This window comes from Homo sapiens, chromosome 1, assembly GCF_000001405.40.
Source record: "Homo sapiens chromosome 1, GRCh38.p14 Primary Assembly".
NCBI lineage: Eukaryota > Metazoa > Chordata > Mammalia > Primates > Hominidae > Homo > Homo sapiens.
This window is the reverse complement of record NC_000001.11, coordinates 228,052,418-228,070,500: the sequence shown is the minus strand read 5'-3', so window position 1 is coordinate 228,070,500 and position 18,083 is coordinate 228,052,418. Positions and strand designations below refer to the sequence as shown.

The window sequence follows — 18,083 nt, the reverse complement described above, 5'->3', positions numbered from 1 at the left end:
CACTATCCCTCCTACACTCTTCCCCTACACTATCCTCTCTATGCTATCCCCCTACATAATCCCCCTATACTATCCCTGTGCACTTTCCCCTTGCACTATCCCCCTACTTTATCCCCTACACTCTCCTCCCTACATTCTCCCCTACACTATCCCCCTACACTATCCTTTCTACACTATCCCCCTACACTCTCCCCCTACTCTATCCCCCAACGCTATCCCCCCACACTATCCCTTTACACTGTCCCCATACACTATTCCCCCATAATATCCCCCTACATTATCCCCCACGATATCCCCCTACACTACCCCCCTACACTATCCCCCCTACGCTATTCCCCTACTCTATCCCCCTACTCTATCCCCCTACACTATCCCCCTATTCTATCCCCCTACGCTATCCCCCTACACTATCCCCCCTACACTATTCCCCCCACACTATCCACCTACACTATCCCCCAACGATATCCCCCTACGCTATCCCTCCTATGCTATCCCCCTCCACTATCGCCCCTAAACTATCCCCCTACAAAATCTCCCCTCTGCTATCCCCCCTGCAAAATACCCCCTACACTATCCCCCTACACTGTCTCCATACCCTATTCCTCTACCCTATTTCCCTTCGCTATCCCTCCACGCTATTTCCCCTATGATATCCCCCTACACTATCTCTGTATGCTATTCCCTTTTGCTATCCCACTACGCTATCCTTTACCTTATCCCCCTATGCTATCCCTGCTACGCTATCCTTCTACACTATCCCCCCTTGCTATCTCCCTATGCTATCCCCCCATGCTATCCCCCCACGCTATCCCTGCTATGCTGTCCCCCTATGCCATCCCTCCTATGCTATCCCCCCATGCTATCCCCCCTACGCTATCCGTGCTATGCTATCCCCCTATGCTATCCCTCCTACGCTATCCCCCTATGCCATCCCTCCTATGCTATCCCCCCATGCTATCCCCCCTACACTATCCCTGCTATGCTATCCCCCATGCTATCCCTCCTACGCTATCCCCCATGCTATCCCTCCTATGCTATCCCTCCTACGCTATCCCCCTATGTTCTCCCCGCTATGCTATCCCTTCTACGCTGTCCCCTGCTACGCTATTCCCCTACGCTGTTCTTCTACCCTATCCCCCCAATCTATCCCCCCCACACTATCCCTCTATACTATACCCCTACACTATTCCCCTACGCTGTCCTTCTACCCTATCCCCTCAATCTATCCCCGCTACACTCCCTCTACACTATACCCCTACACTATCCCCCTACACTCTCCCCTACTCTCTCCCCCCTACAGTATCCCCCATGCTATCCTCCTGTTCTATCCCCGCTACACTATCCTCGTACACTGTCCCCCTACACTATCCCCCATACACTATCCCCGACGCTATCCCCCTATACTACCCCCCCTACGCACTCTCCGCTACACTATCCCCCTACACAATCCCTTTTATGCTATGCCCCCTCCACTATCCCCCTACAGAATCCCCCCTATGCTGTCCCCTACACAGTGCCCCCCACACTGTACCCCCTACACTATCCCTTTACACTATCCTCCTACTCTTTCCCTACGCTATCCCTCCTATGCTATCCTCGTATGCTATCCCCCCTACGATATCCCCCTATGCTATCCCTCCTACGCTATCCTTCTACGCTGTCCCCCCTGCACTATCCCCCTAGGCTATCCCCCCATGCCATCCTACGCTATCCCTTATGCTATCTGCCTGTGCTGTCCCCGCTACTCTATCCCCCTACGCTATACCTTTAGGCTATCCCCCTATGCTGTCCCCCTACACCGTGCTCCTACTACGCTATCCCCCCTACTCTATATCCCTATATGCTATCCTCCTACACTATCCCTCCTACACTATCCCCCTACACTATCCCTTTTACACTATCCCCCCTACACTGTCCCCCTTCACTATCCCCGCTACACTATCCCTATATGCTATCCTCCTACACTATCCCTCCTACACTATTCCCTTTACTCTATCCCCCTACACTATCCCCTTTACACTATCCCCCTACACTGTCCCTTACACTATCCCCCCTACACTGTCCCCCTACACTATCCCCCACGCTATTTCCCCTATGCTATCGCCCCTACATTATCCCCCTACGCTATCCCCCTATGCTATTTCCCCTACACTATCCGTCTATACTATATCCCTACACTATCCCCCTATGCTATCCCCTAACACTATTCCCTATATTATCCCTTTACACTGTCTCCCTACGCTATTCCCCCTACACTATCCCTCTACACTATCCCCCATGCTATCCTCCTTACACTATCCCCCTACACTATCCCCTACACTATCCCTCTACACTATCCCCCATGCTATCCTCCTTACACTATCCCCCTACACTATCCCCTACACTATCCCTCTACACTATCCCCCTATGCTATTCCCCCTACACTATCCCTGTACACTATCCCCCATGCTATCCCCTACAGTATTCCCCTACTCTATTCCCCCTACACTATCCCTCTACACTATCCCCCTATGCTATTCCCCCTACACTATCCCTCTACACTATCCCCCGTGCTATCCCCTACAGTATTCCCCTACGCTATGCCCCCTACACTATCCCTCTACACTATCCCCCATGCTATCCTCCTTACACTATCCCCATACACTATCCCCTACACTATCCCTCTACACTATCCCCCCTACGCTATTCCCCCTACACGATCCCTCTACACTATACCCCCTACATTATCCCCCCACACTATCCCCCTACACTATCCCTCTACACTATACACCCTACATTATCCCCCCACACTATCCCCCTACACTATCCCACCTGTGCTATTCCTCTGCACTACCCTGTCTACACTATCCATTCTTCTACATGCCCTGTACATTCTGGTCTACACTACCCGCCAACACTGCCCCTCCTGCACACTCCTGATGGTTCCCATGTCCAGCATCCCATGTCCTCCCCAGCCTTTGGTGTTGGTGCTGCAGGCTGCCTGCTCCATTGAGGAGTGGCACTGCAGGGCCGGTGCCTCATGCCAGACCTTGGATGGAGTGGGGAGAGGGCAATGCCAGTCTGGCCTCTTGGCCTTCTGCCATGGTGGGGTGAGTTTGGGCAGCAGAAGAAGACAGGAGCCCGGGCACTGGCTCTGGGGCATAGTCTGCCCACCTCAGGTTCGTGAACGAGGGGGAGATACCTGGGGAAATCCACTTTTCCCAGCCACACATCCAGCCCATATGCCTGCGCCTGGACTTCTGTGTTTCCTGCTCCTGCCAGGAGACCGGGCCTTGGCATTCCAGTTTGTAATTCTGCAGCTGGCTGCTGGGTGGGCAGGTGAGGTGTGCTGTTGGAAGGAGACCCAGGCTGTGACCCAGCCAAGAAGCTCTGATCCCAGCTGGGTCTGGAGGGCAGGGCTCCCCATGGGCACCTGAGGGTATGGTGGAGCCTTTGCAGCTTCCCCTGGAGGAGGTCTTTTTGCCGCGGATGCCTCACCTCTTCCTAGAAGCTCTCCTGGGTTAATCACAGTCCCCTGCTTGTGAGACCACAGCTCCTCAGTCTGAAGGAGGCTTCCCCGAGCTGGGCCTGGATGGGATGTCCCACCCCTGCTTCCTCCCTCCCAGCCAGCCTGTGTTTGGGTGGACAAATCCTCCTCATCTTCGCACCATAAACACCAATTTGCAGGGCCCCAAGAGCCAAATGACTGTTTACTGTGTGCTCTAGAGGCTCAAGTAAAAAAAAAAAAGAGAGAGAGAGAGAGAGACAAAAAGAGAGCAAGGAGTCAGCTTGGAGCTAAACAGCAATTAGCACCTTCTGCTGAGCTCCCATCCTGGCCAGGCAGGCGGGTGGTGGCTCCCAGGCTTCAGTGGGGCCCCTTCTGAGGGCTCCCCGGCTGCCATGGGAACCCACTTTTTTCCTGGCGTCTGCAGGGATGCAATCTCAGAATTACAGGAGGATGTTGGAGCCCTAGGAAGTGTCCCCATGCTCACCTCCTCCTGGAAGCCCTCCCAGATGATCCCGAAGGCAGCCACTGACAGCAGTCCAGTTCTGCAGGGAGGAACACTGACCTAGTCCCCCAGACCTTGGAAGTTGCTCCAGGAGGTCATGCCCCTGGGATCCAGGGCTCCAGATCCAAGCAAGACTCCGACAGGGACCTGAGTGCCCTGTCCTGAGGCATCCATCCCTAGGGGTTCAGAGGCAGAAAGGGGGATCCATGAGGGGAGGAGACTGGGAAAGAGGGCTGAGCTGTCCAGGGGAGGGGGTGGGGCCTGTGGGGGGCGGTGGTGCCACTGTAGGGCAGAGGGAACTAGGGCTCATCCCAGGTCGACAGCTGGACCCCAGGGTGGGACTGCTTCCCCCAGGACCCAGGTTGAGGCTGTGTCTCCCAGACCCCAGGGCAGGGCCGTGTCTTCTTATATTCCAGGATGGGGCACATCCTCAGCTCAGTCCAGGCTCAGGGTCTGTACTTGTTTTACCTGGGCCCGCAGCCCAGGGTGCTCCAACGTCTTCTACCCTCTCTGCCAGTAGCCCAGGAATGGCAGGGCCTACAGATGGAAGGGCAGGGTCTCAGGACAGAGCCTGGCAGAGGGCAGAGGCTGGCTCCGCATCCCAGGAGTCCCCCTCTGGTTCTCCCCGTGGACTTTCTCTCATGGCTTGTCACTCCAGGCTTCAGTGCAGGATGGACAGTCCACCCACCAAGCCCCGCCCTGGGCTCGGGGACCTGGGTCCCCCACTCTGATGATGCCAGGCTCTGAGTGCATGGCCCTGATTGTAATTCCTGGTGAGAGGCTATCTGCAGGGGAAAGGGCGGAGGTATCCATCCGGCTGAAACATCGGGGAGGGCCAGGCTGGAGGAAGGCTCCAGGGAATGAAGTTACAGGGTCACCTTATCGGGGGACCTGTGGCCAGGGCAGCCTTGCTAGGGCTTAGGAGTGGCTGATGTCTGACGACGTCTCAGACACTCCACCCCATACACAAACAGGCGTATTGAGGCCTGGACGGCAAGCTGGGCCTGACATCATCTCTGCAATGCCCTGGTCCTTGGAGGACCCCCTCCAAGGACTGGGGTGTGGGACCCCCAAGTCCCAGCTTCTCTTCCTCTTCAGGGGCATCTTTCCCCAGGCCTCGCCTTCCCCCAACAAGAAGCTTCTAGAATGTTCCTTCTTGAGGATAGCCCAAGGGACTGCGGGGAAGCCCTGAATTCATTCCTGGCTGCTCAGCCTGTGTCCTGGAGTTCCCTGGAGGCCGTGACAGACCACATTCCAACCTTGGACAGGCCGAGGACCCCCTGAGCCAAGGTCATCTTTTGGGCTGTGTCAACTCCTGGGGCAGCAGCTGTGCCCCTGGGAGCTGACAGGCCCAGAGCTTGGTCAGGGGTCCTGCCCTCTGCCCTCTCCTCTCCCACCCACTGGAGGATGGTGACGCCAGGCCCACACTAGGGGAGTTAGGCTGGGTGTGGAACCCGGTTGAGAGGGGAGGGGCCGTCTCCACTGATGAGCCTCTCAGGCCCCCACCGACCCAGCATGGTCCAGAGAGGACCCATGATGGAGCAGGGGCAAGGGCCAGGGCTGGCAGGGCCCCGGGGCACACCAAGCCCAGGCTCAGCACTGGGGACGGGCACTGGGCAGTCAGTAAGTAGGGCCTCACCCCCACCCCATGTCGGGCATGGGGACCTGGAGCTGGCCTTGCACCTGCCTGCTGCGGTCCCAGCGTCCTGGGGAGGCCAGGCTGGCAGCCTCCAGGATCCTCCTTGAAGGGAGGAAACTGAGGCCCCAGGATCCTGAAAGTAGGTGTCAGGAGGGGAGTGTCAGAGAGAGGAGGAGTGCCCAAGTTGGGGGCTGGCCACACCCCTCCAGGACTTCAAAGCATGGAGGGTGAGATGTGCAGGGGGCTGGGCAGGGGAGCCCTGGTGGGGTGGGGCCCCACTACCTCCGGGCCTTTTATATGGTTATTCCTGTCCTGTCTCAACTACCTGCGAACAGGCCCACCAGGCGCATTTCCTCCCTCTGCAGGGCGGGTGGGCAGGATGGGCTATAAACGCCCTGGGGGGTGGCTTCTGAGACTGACTTGGAGGCCTGCAGGCTCCGGGGGGGTTGGGGGCTGGGGCTCCCGGGGTGATGCCTGCCCTTGGCAGGTGAGGGAGGCCATGCACCAGGTGCAGCAGCCCAAGCCAGCAGGCCCGTGGGAGGGAAGACCTCCCTTGGCTCACTGCCTTTTACATAGAAAAGAAACTGAGGCCCAGGCAGGAGTGGGCCTTGCTCCTACACAGGGTGAGTTGAGCGTTTCACCTCCCAGCCCCCATTGCCTATAAACTGGGGTGTGTCCTATGGCCCCAGGGGCTGCAGACCAGCCGACCCCCATTCCTCAGAAACACATCCAGAACCTCTTGTGGGGTCACCCTCTGTCTGTGCTAGGGCCACAGTGGGGATGGGGACAGCTGAGACCATCTTCACAGTGGTCCTTCACACCTGGCCTGCAAGGGGACCTTCGGCTCTCCACCCAGATGGCCCCCTGGGTCTCCAGCAGACTGTGTGTCCTCAGGCCAGCACCATCTCCTCTCTGGGCCCCAGCAGCGGAGATAGAGCCTGGGTGCTGGGGATCTCTCTGGGGCCTACCTCAGCTTTGAGCCCCGAGTTGGCCCTGGCCTGGATCTGGGTGTGGGCTCTTGCCCCGGCCTATGCTGACTGCTCAGGTCCCTGCAACCTGGCAGCCATGCCCATGATCTCGTGCCCTCTGCCTGCCCAGCCGCCTCCCGGCTGGGTCAGTGTCTGTCATCTGCAATGCCCCTGGCACTGGGGCCCAGTAGGTGCTAATTAGGGTGGCTGTGACCTGGGTCCCGACTAAGAGGCACTGTGCCCATGGGCTGGGGCTGACCAGGGGCTCCTGTGGGGCACTGCCCTCCCCCAAGGACTGACCCTTTATGGCTATTGCTCAGGAAGGCCTGGCGGGTTGAGCGGGCTTGGGGTCCCCCCACTGGTGATGCACCACAGGGGTCCTATGCCCTTAGTCACTGGCTCCCTCTTTGTAGACGGTAGCACAGCTGCCCTTGGTGCCCCCCGGGAATTCCAGTGGCCCTGCCTATGGAGGGTCAGGGCTGCCCTGGAGCAGTGGGTGACCCACCTGGGATGGGTGTCACGGCCCCAGCCAATGAGGCCATGGCTGGGAGTGATATTGGGGTGCCCACCAGACCTTGGGGGTGCATGGAAGCTGAGGCACAGTTTTGGGAGGCAAAGGAGAGGGGTGCCTGACCTCCAGAGTCCTGGACCGGGTCCCTTCTCCCTTGGCCCTGACAGGCCCTGGGTAGCTCTGTGCTCCCATGGCTGGTGGCTCTGGAGAAACACTCCCTCCCTACAACCACCCCAGCAGCCACACTTCAGCCCTCATCCCCTCCTGGGCCTGGCCTCCTTGACTGTCCTCGGGTGGGAGCCTCTGCTTCATGAGGTTCTGCAAGGCTGCTGCAGGCAGGGGTTGGGCAGCAGCCAGACCTGGGCAGAAGCCCTGTGCAGCCAGCAGGGTATGGTAGAGGGCGGTATGCTCTCTTGCTCCGTGGGTGCTGTGAGGCTTCACTATGCCAGCACTGTGAGGAGGCCCTGGGCAGTGAGTGGGGTGGAAAGACCTGACCTGGGGTGGGGAGGAGCAGGGCTCTGGTGGGGGCCGGGCTGGATCTGTAGCCTTAGGGAGGTGGATGAGGCACAGGACCAGGGGGACCTAGGAAGTGGATAGTGAGGGGCAGGTGGGGGGTTTGGGAAGGCCAGGCTTCTAGTGGACCCGTCACAAAGGTCAGGAGCAAGGGCTCTAGCTTGAAAATGGTGCCCAGAGAGGGTGGCCAGGCCCAGTGTGGCCTAGAGAGGGTGTCCTGCTGGGCAGCCGTGAGGGCACCTTGGGGTGAGGGTGTGGGGAGGGAGGTCAGCAGTCCCTCAGGCCCCTCTGCCCAGCCTTAGCTGCATGCCCTGGGCCTGTGCCCTCAGGGTCCAGGACAGCAGGTGCGTGGCAGGGTCAGGGGACACTGTTCCTGGAGGGGTTATGCTCCTGCCTGGGGCTGGCCCTTCTCTGGCTCTTGAGGCCTGGGGATTGTGTTCCCATGACCTCCATGCCTAGGACGCTGGTGCACCCACCCCACTCCTGGGGCTGCCTTGACCCCCCTTCCTACCATGGGGCACACTGGGGGATGGCCAGCCATTCCTGTTCTATGAAGGCCTGGCTCCCCGCCGGCGTGCACATGGCTTGAGTATGGTGGCTGTGTTGGGCCCGGCCTGCAGGCAGGTACACTGGCTGCTCCTGGCTGCCCCATCTCCATAGCTTCTTCCCTTGGCATTCACTGCCCTGAAGGTCTGGCTGAGCATCCAGTCAGGGCCCAGAGATGGGCATGGGGACTGGACAGGCATGGGAGGGCAGAGAGTGGAGCAGAGATCCTTGGTGGGGCTGGGACGGGGAAGGCATGGCCTTGAGACAGCCCTTGGGCTCCTGCTGCCTGTTTCCAGAGGCACACCCAGCACCCCTAGTAAGGCCTCATGAGGGCTCCTGTCGGCAGGATGGCTCACCTGTTCCAGGGGCTCTCCCTGCCTTCCTTGGCTGGGGAAAGGAGATGGGGGCTCGCACAGGGGGCACCCCTGTGCACAGCCCCACGAGGTGAGGATCCCAGAGGAACTCCTGATGGCCAGTCCCATCCCAAGGTCCTGCTGGGATCCAGCTGATCCTATACCACCAGGCCACTGTCCCCAAACCTAGAGAGGGGGCACATCCATAGCTGGTGCTAAGGTATCAGCTGAGTGAGTACAGGCTCTGCGGGAGGGGAGGTGGTGGGCGTCTTGCTGCTCTACTGACTTGTTGGGGGCTCGGCCAACCCCCTTACCTTAGGGCTGCCTACCTGGGGCCTCCAGGTGCCTGCTGCTCTCTCCCTGTCAGAGGCTCTACTCTGCTCCAGGCCTTGGTGCCAGTGGCCGTTCCCTCATTTCCTCAGCTTGGCTATCCTTATTCCTTCCCCATGGAATTCCAGCTCTGGAGGTCCCCTGCCCATCACGGCCCTGGGGCATCCCCCTGCCCCCGGACCCAGGCCCTGAGCCCCTGAGTGGGCATCTTCTCTACTCTTTCAACACCGTGCTGACCCACCACCAAACATCCAGCCCAGACCACAGCCTTGATGGCTTGTTTCTCTTTTTTCACTTTTCCCATTGTTTGAAACCCACAAGCTATGACTAAAACAATTTCTTTCATAGAAAGAAAAGGGAAAAAAAACACAACACATCTATTCGTCTAACTCCGTTGGACAGTGGATATAGCAGCATCAGATATAACATTAAAACCAAAAACGCAGAATTTGAGGCAGAGGATGGCGGTGTGCCCTCTTTTGGGCTCTTGGGGCGCCCCGCCTGGCCGCTTCTTCTCCCCGCACCTTGAGGGTGGGAGCCGGTTCACAGTGGCAGAGGCTGAGGGGCGCTGGCCATGAGGCAACCAGGGATATGGGCCGGGTGGGTTCAGCGGCCTCCCCATTCATTCCCGGGCCAGGCGGATGAGTCAGGAGGGGCCGGGCCATTGGCTCCAGGAAAGCGGACCATTTCTCCAGTCCCGCCATGAGGGGCCAGGAAGGGGGCCGGCCCATCTCAGGGCTGTGGGACCTTCGCGAGCAGCACAGTCGGGGGGTTGATGCCCCCCAAACCTCCCGAACGCCCCCAAATGAGACCAGCAGCTCTGGGCAGCCTGGGGGGCTGGACCTCTCTTCCTACCTTTCCCTTAAGGGGCTGTGGACAGGCGGAGGAAAGGGAGGGACGGGACGAGAGGCTTCTATCTCTCCTGTAGCTGGATGGAGTGCAGGTGGGGAGACCCGAGGGCAGGGAGGAGGGGCTGGGCAGCTGCAAAGAAGGGGGCGCAGCTGAGCAGAGCAGAGACGGGCGGGGCCTGGGGCGCAGCAGGCCAGTTCCCTGGCAGGAGTACCTGACGGTGTGGGAGCCCGGGCAGGGCGGGCCTCTTTGGGAGGGCCTCGGTCGCTTGCCTCTGCGAAGTCCCTGTCCTCTCCCAGGACTAAGCTTGGTCTTGGGGTTGGGGGCTGGGAGGCCCTTCAGGCTTTCCCCAGGTAGGGCCCCTGGTCAGGTGGGTGGTCAAACCCCAGGCTGAGGAAGGGGTGGCACAGGCGTCGGCGCGCCTGGAGCATTCCAAAGCCAGGCGCTTGGAGAGGGGCCCTCGGATCCCAGGGGCACGGGTTGGGGACCCGACTCGCTTCATGGAACCTTCCCAGCTCGACGCAGGGGTGGATGGAACCTTACAGGGGGTTGGGGATGAGGTGGCTGGTGGGCTGAATTTCCTGCTCTGGAGCCGGGATTCCTGCAGAAGCCACGCCTTAATCAGGAGGGCGGTTCCCAGGGAAGAGTCCCACCCGCGGAGAGAAGCCCCGCCCCATTGGAGCCTGGTCCCAGAGAAGCCCCACCCACAGGAAGGAGCCTATGCAGGCCACGCCCACCCAGAGCCACAGCCCCCGTGGAAGGGGCCTTGCCCTGGTCAGGAGAAGCTCTGCCCCATCCAGGAAGAAGCCTCATCCACCATAAAACCCCACTCCTAAGGAGGCGCTCCGCCCTCAGGGAGCAGCCTACCCCAGAGCCGTGCCCCATCCTAGAGCCCCGCCTCCTTCAGGAGGAGCCCCGCCTGCAGGTAGAAGCCTACCTAGTGCCCCGCCCACCCAGAGCCACGCCCTTACTGGGAGGGGCCTCGCCCCCGCAGGAGAAGCCCTGTCCCACCCAAGAGAAGCCCCGCCCAATCTGTAGCCCCGCCTCTGTCCAGGGGAGCCCCGTCCCCAGGGAGAAGCCAACGCAGAGCCCCTCCCCATCCTGGAGCTCCGCCTCATTCAGGAGCAGCCCAGCCACCAGAGAGGAGACACTAGCTCCAGGGAGGAGCCCTGCCTTCAGGTAGGAGTTCTGCCCCCAGGTAGGAGCCCCACCCCCAGGGAGGAGTCCCGCCCCCAGGGAGGAGTACTGCCCCGTTTAGGTGGGAGTCCTGCTCCACCCAGGGAAAAGCCCACCCTCAGGCAGGGCCCGCCCCGTCCAGGGGGAGCCGCGGCCGGTGCCTACTTGCAGGTGTGCACGTCGTAGACGCGCGTGCACTCCTGGCAGCTGACGTAGCAGCACCAGTGGAACACGCAGCGGCACTTCTCCCGGCGCCGCTCCGCTCGCGCGTTGTGGCCGCGGCCGCAGCACAGCAGGTCGCAGCCGTCGATGCCGTGCGAGCTGACGTTGCAGGTGCGGTCGCGCGTGCCGAAGGAGCCCGTCTCAGGGTTGGGCTCGCAGAAGTTGGGCGAGGCCTCGTAGTAGACCAGGTCGCGCTCCGTGGGCACCTTGAAGTAGGTGTAGCGCGGCCGCAGGGTCTCCACCCAGCCGCGGGACTCCCGGTGCTTCTCCACCACCATCTCCGAGGCGCTGTCGTACTTGTCCTTGAGGAAGTCACCGATGGCGCGGAAGTCGGGTTGCGACCACCAGCATGTCTTCACCTCGCAGCTGCCCGACAGCCCGTGGCACTTGCACTTGAGGTGCATGTGGCTGGCGATGGCCTGCGGGGCACGCGCAGGAGCCAGCGTCAGGGCGGCCCCCTGGTGCGTCTCCCCGAGGAAACAGCATTACATGTCGCCTGCAGCCTACCTGCTCCATAAAGCCCCCGGGCAGAGGGGGCAGACTCCCAGGCAGGGCCCCAGGGCCACCCCCTTCCTATGGTGCAGATACTGGTGCCTGCTCCCTTGCCAGACCCAAGCCTTCCCAGGTCAGGGCTTGGGGGGCTCCCCTCTTCCCGTCTCCTAGCTGAGTACTTCTACACTGTCTAGGGTGGAGCGAATGAAGGACAGAGCTGCAGCGTGGGATGCCATACACGAAGAGCCACAGCAGTCAGAGTGCAGGGATGCAGGGGGATAGGCGTTCCTTCTGACCCTGAGGACTCAGGCACGCTGCCCAGAGGTGTATACGGCTGGGTGGAAAGGCACGAGTCCTGAGCATGAGTAAAGAGAGTGGCCCAGGAAGCTGGTCACTGTATGGGGACTGCAGAGGAAGAGGAAGGCAATGTTGGGACATAAGGCTGTTGGGGGACCGGGCAGGACCTCGCTGAGGAGCGAACGGTTTCCCCTATGGGCAGTGTAGAACTCAGCTTCTTTTCCCTTCTTTCTTTGGGGAAGGGGTAGGGGTGAGCGTGAAGGGGCATGTGAACATCAGAACAGTCTAGGTGGCACTGCACTGTGGCAGCCACTGGACAGACAGGAGCCCATGAGGCATGGCAGTGTGAATTCAGAAATGCTATACGTGCCAACTGCATGCTGGATTCCCAAGACTTAGTGTAAGAAAAGGATGAGAAACAGCTCATTCATAATTTTAATACTGACTACATTATTGAAATGATAGCATGTTGGCTATCCTGAGTTAAATCAAATTTGGTATTAAAATTTGTTTCTGGCCGGGCATGGTGGCTCATGCCTGTAATCCCAGCACTTTGGGAGGCCAAGGCGGGTGGCTCACTTGAGGCAAAGCCACGTGTCTATTAAAAATACAAAAATTAGGCGTGGTGGCGGGAACCTGTGATCCCAGCTACTTGGGAGGCAGAGGCAGAATTGCTTGAGCCAGGAGGGGGAGGCAGCAGTGAGCGGAGATTGCGCCACTGCACTCCATCCAGCCTGGGCTACAGGGCGAGAGTCTGTCTCAAACCAAACCAAACCAAATCAAAACCAAAAAAACTTGTTTTACCTGTTTACTCTTTAAATGTGGCTACTAGAAAATTTATAATGATCTTTGTGTCATTTGTGGGACAAATTATAATAATCTATGAGCCATTTGTGGCTCCCATTCTATTTCTATTGGACAGTTCTAATCTAAGGCTTCAACTGGGCTCTGGGTCCCAATCCTGCCTCCTCCTCGTCCCCTTCTGGCTCTTTCTTGAACTCCTCCCTCTGATATTGACTGTTTCCTATGGGCATCTGTAGAGTAACATATCCCTCGCCCTGCCCAGTCTAGTTTATCTAATATCCATTTTATTTCCTCTTTTGTTTTAGTTTTATATTGGATCAAAGTTATATAGGTGCTTACTTGGAAGAGTCCAACAGTTTCCAAGACCTGTTTAGATAAACAGGAATTCTGGTCCTACATGCAGCCCCTTGCAATGTCTACAACTCTGTTAACACACTTGTCTTGACACCTCTTGATTTTTCAGCATTAGGCATTATTTATTGGCCTCTAGCCATGGTGGGTGGCAGTTAGTTTTCTCTCCTTACTCCACCACACTGATGCACACTTCCCAAGCACCAACCCCTCCTGCCCTAAAAACTAGCTTAATTTCACATCAATATTCACTGCTGGTGGTATTGGGACTACTTTAAGTGTCATATATTATGATGACTTTTCTTTTCCTAAATGACTTTTTGTAGTTGGTGTTATCCATGTACCTGTAACTGATTCAGCCTCAAATTCTCCCTTACTTATCTACATATTCTCTTCAAGATGTCCAAACACATCAGCTATTCTATCAATTTCATTTTCTTGCAGATTTTTTTTTCCCAGAAAAGGCCTTGTAAATTTTTTGAAATGTCCATGTCTAAAAACAATCTTTTCTACTATCTCATTTAATTGATAGTTTTGCTGGGAAGTGAATTCTTGGCTTAAAATCATTTTTACATCTTGGAGTTCAAAAAGTATTATTACTGTTTTCTTCTAGCTTTCATTATTGCTCCCGAAAAGTCTGGTACTATTTTGATTCCTGATCCTGAAGCCCAAACATTCTCCTTGGCAGCTTGGAGGGCTGTTCTGTGCAGTAGGCTCTGAGCTTCACAGCAGTGTGTCTTGAAGTAGATCTTTTTCTTCTGTTGTTCTCGTCACTTAGTGGCCTGTTTGGTCTGCAACCTGTGCTCCACAGTTCTGAGGAAGCTTCCTGCCTTGTTTCTTTGCTGACTGCCTCCTCTTTTTGTTTGTCATTGTCTTTCTTGGACAGATCCTCCAAATCTTCTCCTTGCTCTTATTTTTAATCTCTTTGTCTTTTTTTTCTTTCTGTCTTGTGGGAGGGTATCTCAACTATCTTTCAATTTGAGGATTTTGCTTCTGTTATCATATTTTTAATTTCTAAGAGCTCTTTTGTAACCTGAATGTTTAAAATTACCATCCTGTTCCAATTTCATGGATATAGTGTTTTATCTTTTGGGGATATTAATGATCATCTTTCGAAGTTTCATCTCTCTTTACAATGTCTCTTTCCCATAAATTTTGTTTGAGTTTGTTTGTTTTGGACTTTGCCATTATTGTTGTTAGAGTCCTTCCTCAGAGGTCTGATGATCCTTGGCTGTCTGCTCGTATTTAAAAATGGGACACTAAAAATCTTATTGGAAGTTCCTGTACATGGGAGAGACTTGTCAACTTTGGTCCTCTCTATAGAGTGATCTAGCTGCATCACTTTATTGGGACCTTCCACAGGTAACTGTCTTGAAGTCTCCTCTTTTGAGTTGGTCAGAGTCCCCAGAGCAGAATCTTCCATCCTCTTGCCTGGAGGATAACTAGGGTTCACAGCTAGCATTAGGAAATCAGGAGGAGAGAGAAAGGCATGAACTTCCATATGTAGAGAGAAAATTTTCACTTTGGAAGGTTCACTCTGAGATGTGCTTGGCGTCCCTCAGATCAGAGACCTGTGCTTTGCAGAAAACAAACCTCCAGGCTTCAGCAACAGGGAAAGGAGAGGCTGCTGCCTGGCTACAAAGAGTTGGGTAGTGGAGTGAGTGGGCTATAAAGTACCCTGAAAGTCATCTTTCAACCAATCTTCCTGTTTTCAGCCCCATATTTATCTCAACTTCTCAAGATATCAGACACTAGGAATTCCTAGACTGGTTCTCAAATTTCTTCTCTACTGGCTTAAGACTCAGTTTTCTTGAGTCTGCTTGAGTATTCATCTATCTGCTTTTAGCTTTCAAAGTTTTGTTACCATTGTTTCCTCTTTATTTTCTGTATTCTCATGAGTATCCATCTCTATCTATTCATCCATCTATCTAATCTATTTATCCATCCATCCTATCTGTATTAGCATCTATATCTATGTATAATCTCTATGCACTATTTATATCCATTTATATCTATCATCTATATCTACTATTACCTGTCCCTACCTGTATCTATTTATATTTTATTTATATTTATCTCTACATATCTATTTATTTTAAAATTAATTTATTGTTATTTTAGTGGGTTCCAGGAGAGTGCAGACGGAAGTGTTCAGCTTCTCATCTTTAACTGGAAGTCCTTATTTGTTCTTCAGTTCTGCAATTTCTGTGTAATTATTTTCCAAATCTATTGTGTGTGTGTATATATATATATATATATATATATATATATATATATATATTTTTTTTTTTTTTTTTTTTTTGGGACGGAGTTTCCAAAAAAAACTCCCAGTTTCCAAAAAAAAAACTGCCCAGGCTGGAGTGTAATGGTGCACTCTCAGCTCACCACAACCTCCGCCTCCTGGATTCAAGTGATTCTCCTGGCTCAGCCTCCCAAGTAGCTGGGATTACAGGCGTGCACTACCACGCCCGGCTAATTTTGTATTTTTAGTAGAGACGGGAATTCTCCATGTTGGTCAGGCTAGTCTCGAACTCGCCTCGGCCTCCCAAAGTGCTGGGATCACAGGTGCGAGCCACCGTGCCCAGCCTATTATATAATTTTTATAGTTTCTAGTTTCCTGATGCAATGTTCACACTTGTGTTTTAGCTTTGTGAACCTAAGTAAGCATTTTTCCCCTCAAAGTCTGTGTCTAATAATTCCATTGTCTGAATTCCCTGTGTACTTGTGTTTTTTTTTTTTTTTCTGGTTTAACTCACTGTGTCATCAGATCATGTGATAGATTATCTTTGATTGTGTGCTGGACATTGTGTTTTCTTTTTTTTTTTTTTTTTTTGAGACAGAGTCTCACTCTGTCGCCCAGGCTGGAGTGCAGTGGTGCGATCTTGGCTCACTGCAAGCTCCGCCTCCTGGGTTCACGCCATTCTCCTGCCTCGGCCTCCCAAGTAGCTGGGACTACAGGCACCTGCCACCACGCCTGGCTAATTTTTTTTGTTATTTTTTAGTAGAGACCGGGTTTCACCATGTTAGCCAGGATGGTTTCAATCTCCTGACCTCACGATCCGCCCACCTCGGCCTCCCAAAGTGCTGGGATTATAGGTGTGAGCCACCACGCCCAGCCAACATTGTGTTTTCTAAAAAATTATTATAGAAACATTTATAGGCTTAGAGGAGGGATATCATCCTTCTCCAAAGAGGATTTTGTCTGCTTTTTCCAGGTGTATGGGAGTACCAGCAATTTGGGATTACCTTAATCCAAGTTCAGGTTTTGAGAGATTTCTAGTCTGCCCATGTGAACAGGACAAGACTACTTCTGGCTTGGCTTTGCTCTTCAGGGTCACAGCCTACACTGAGGAAGGATTTACCAGAGATGGCACCCTTGGTGGGCCCCTTAGCTCTGTGAGTCTGCTGGAAATGCAGTGCAACCTCTGTAGTCTCTTCCAGGTCAGCAAATGGCCCCTAGACAAAAGCTACCCCAGGTACCAGACTTGGGATCTTCTCTTGGATCAGGGGCTGCTAATTCCTCACTAGATGGTCAGTTATTTGACACTTAAAAATCATTTTATGGAAGTATAATAGACATACAAAAATATATATGTGTCATAAGTGCAAAATATACAAAATTTTACAAATTACCTGCCCCAGAACACCAGTGTCTCAGACACCCCCATCCTCCTCTCTCTTTCCAGGACATAGGTTCTCACAGCATTTTCTTGATGACTCATAACATTGAGCACCTTTTGTATAGGTAGTGGAATTTCTATATTTTCTTTCATAACATGGCTTTTAATTTTTTGGCCAATTTTCCCATTGGTTTGTCTATCTTTTTTTTCTTAGTCTGCAGAGTTCTTTTCCTACTGTAGCTTCTCTACATTTGCTGCATATGTGAGTGTGGATGTATGTATGTGAATGTGTCCTCTATGGGTTGCCTTTTCAGTCCCATAGTGGTGTCTTTTTATGGATGAAAGTTCTTAATTTGAATATAGTCTATGTTATTCCACTTCTCTTTCAATGTGAGTGCTTTTTTGGACTGTTTAAGACACCTTTGCCTACTCTAAGGTCACAAAGATATTCTATATTTTCTTGTAAAAGTTTTATTGTTTTACCTGTCCCACTGGGATTTGTAATTGATTTTTACAGATGGTGTGAGGTAGCAAGCCAGGGTTATTTTTTTTCCATGTTGCTATCTGTCTTAGTCAATGCTGTATTGCTACAACGTAACACCTGAGACTGAGTAATTCATAAATGTATTCTTTCATGGTTTGGGAGGCTGGGAAATCTAAGATCAAGGTGCTGACAGGTTAGGGCTTGGTTTATCTGCTTCCAAGAGGGCACCCTGAATGAATGCCATGTCCTCCAGAAGGGAGGAACATCATGTCCTCATATGGCAGGAAAGTAATAGAAAGAGAGAGAGAGAGAGACCCTCTTCTGCAAGCCCTTTTACAGCAGCATTGGTCCCTTTATGAGGGCAAGGCCCTCATCACCTAAACACCTCTTATTAGGTCCCACCTCTCCAGACTGTTGCACTGGAGATCAAGCTTACAACATACGAATTTTGGGAGACACATTCAGACCATAGCACCACCCGGTTGACTGAGCACCATTTATTGAAAAGCCCATTTCTCCCATGGCACTGCACTGCCTCATCTATCATGAATTGGGTAATTATGGGGACTCCACACTTTTAACAGGGTGCTTTTTATAGTTCATCCTGCATCTGAAGTTGTCTTCTGCAGGAAGATTAGTCTGAGTTATCTAGTTCCTCACTGTTAAAAGGTGAATATCCCCTGTTCACTCGTCACCCCTCTGTGGTCCCCTGATTCTACAGCCAAGGTCAGCTGCCATCTTCATGTTGTTAAATCCCGTGGACGCCACTTGGTCCTTACGCCCGTCACTGCCCATCAGCCATCTTTCCTCCCTTGGCCATCCACTGATCTTCTGACCACATCCTTTCTAGCAAGCTGCTGTGGTCTGAATGTTTGTGTTCCTCAAAAATTCATGGGTTAAAATCTTTACCCTCGGCTGGGCATGGTGGCTCACACCTGT

At 54.1% G+C, this 18,083-nt stretch overlaps 1 protein-coding gene across 1 annotated transcript in view, besides 1 other annotated feature; it reads right to left on the bottom strand.

Annotated features, from left to right (window-relative positions):
- Positions 5,662-6,635: an enhancer, noted in NCBI's record as "H3K4me1 hESC enhancer chr1:228251567-228252540 (GRCh37/hg19 assembly coordinates)". NCBI's record gives its function as "activates a minimal SCP1, AML or CMV promoter by ChIP-STARR-seq in naive and primed H9 embryonic stem cells {active_cell/tissue: H9 hESC(naive and primed)}" and the evidence as "EXISTENCE:reporter gene assay evidence [ECO:0000049][PMID:30033119]".
- WNT3A (Wnt family member 3A) overlaps positions 9,230-18,083 on the bottom strand; it is a 54,274-nt gene continuing 45,420 nt past the window's right edge. Inside the window, exon 4 of the mRNA NM_033131.4 lies at positions 9,230-11,515. Coding sequence (NP_149122.1) covers positions 11,036-11,515 — 480 coding nt within the window. The 3' untranslated portion in view covers positions 9,230-11,035. The remainder of the gene's footprint in view (positions 11,516-18,083) is intronic.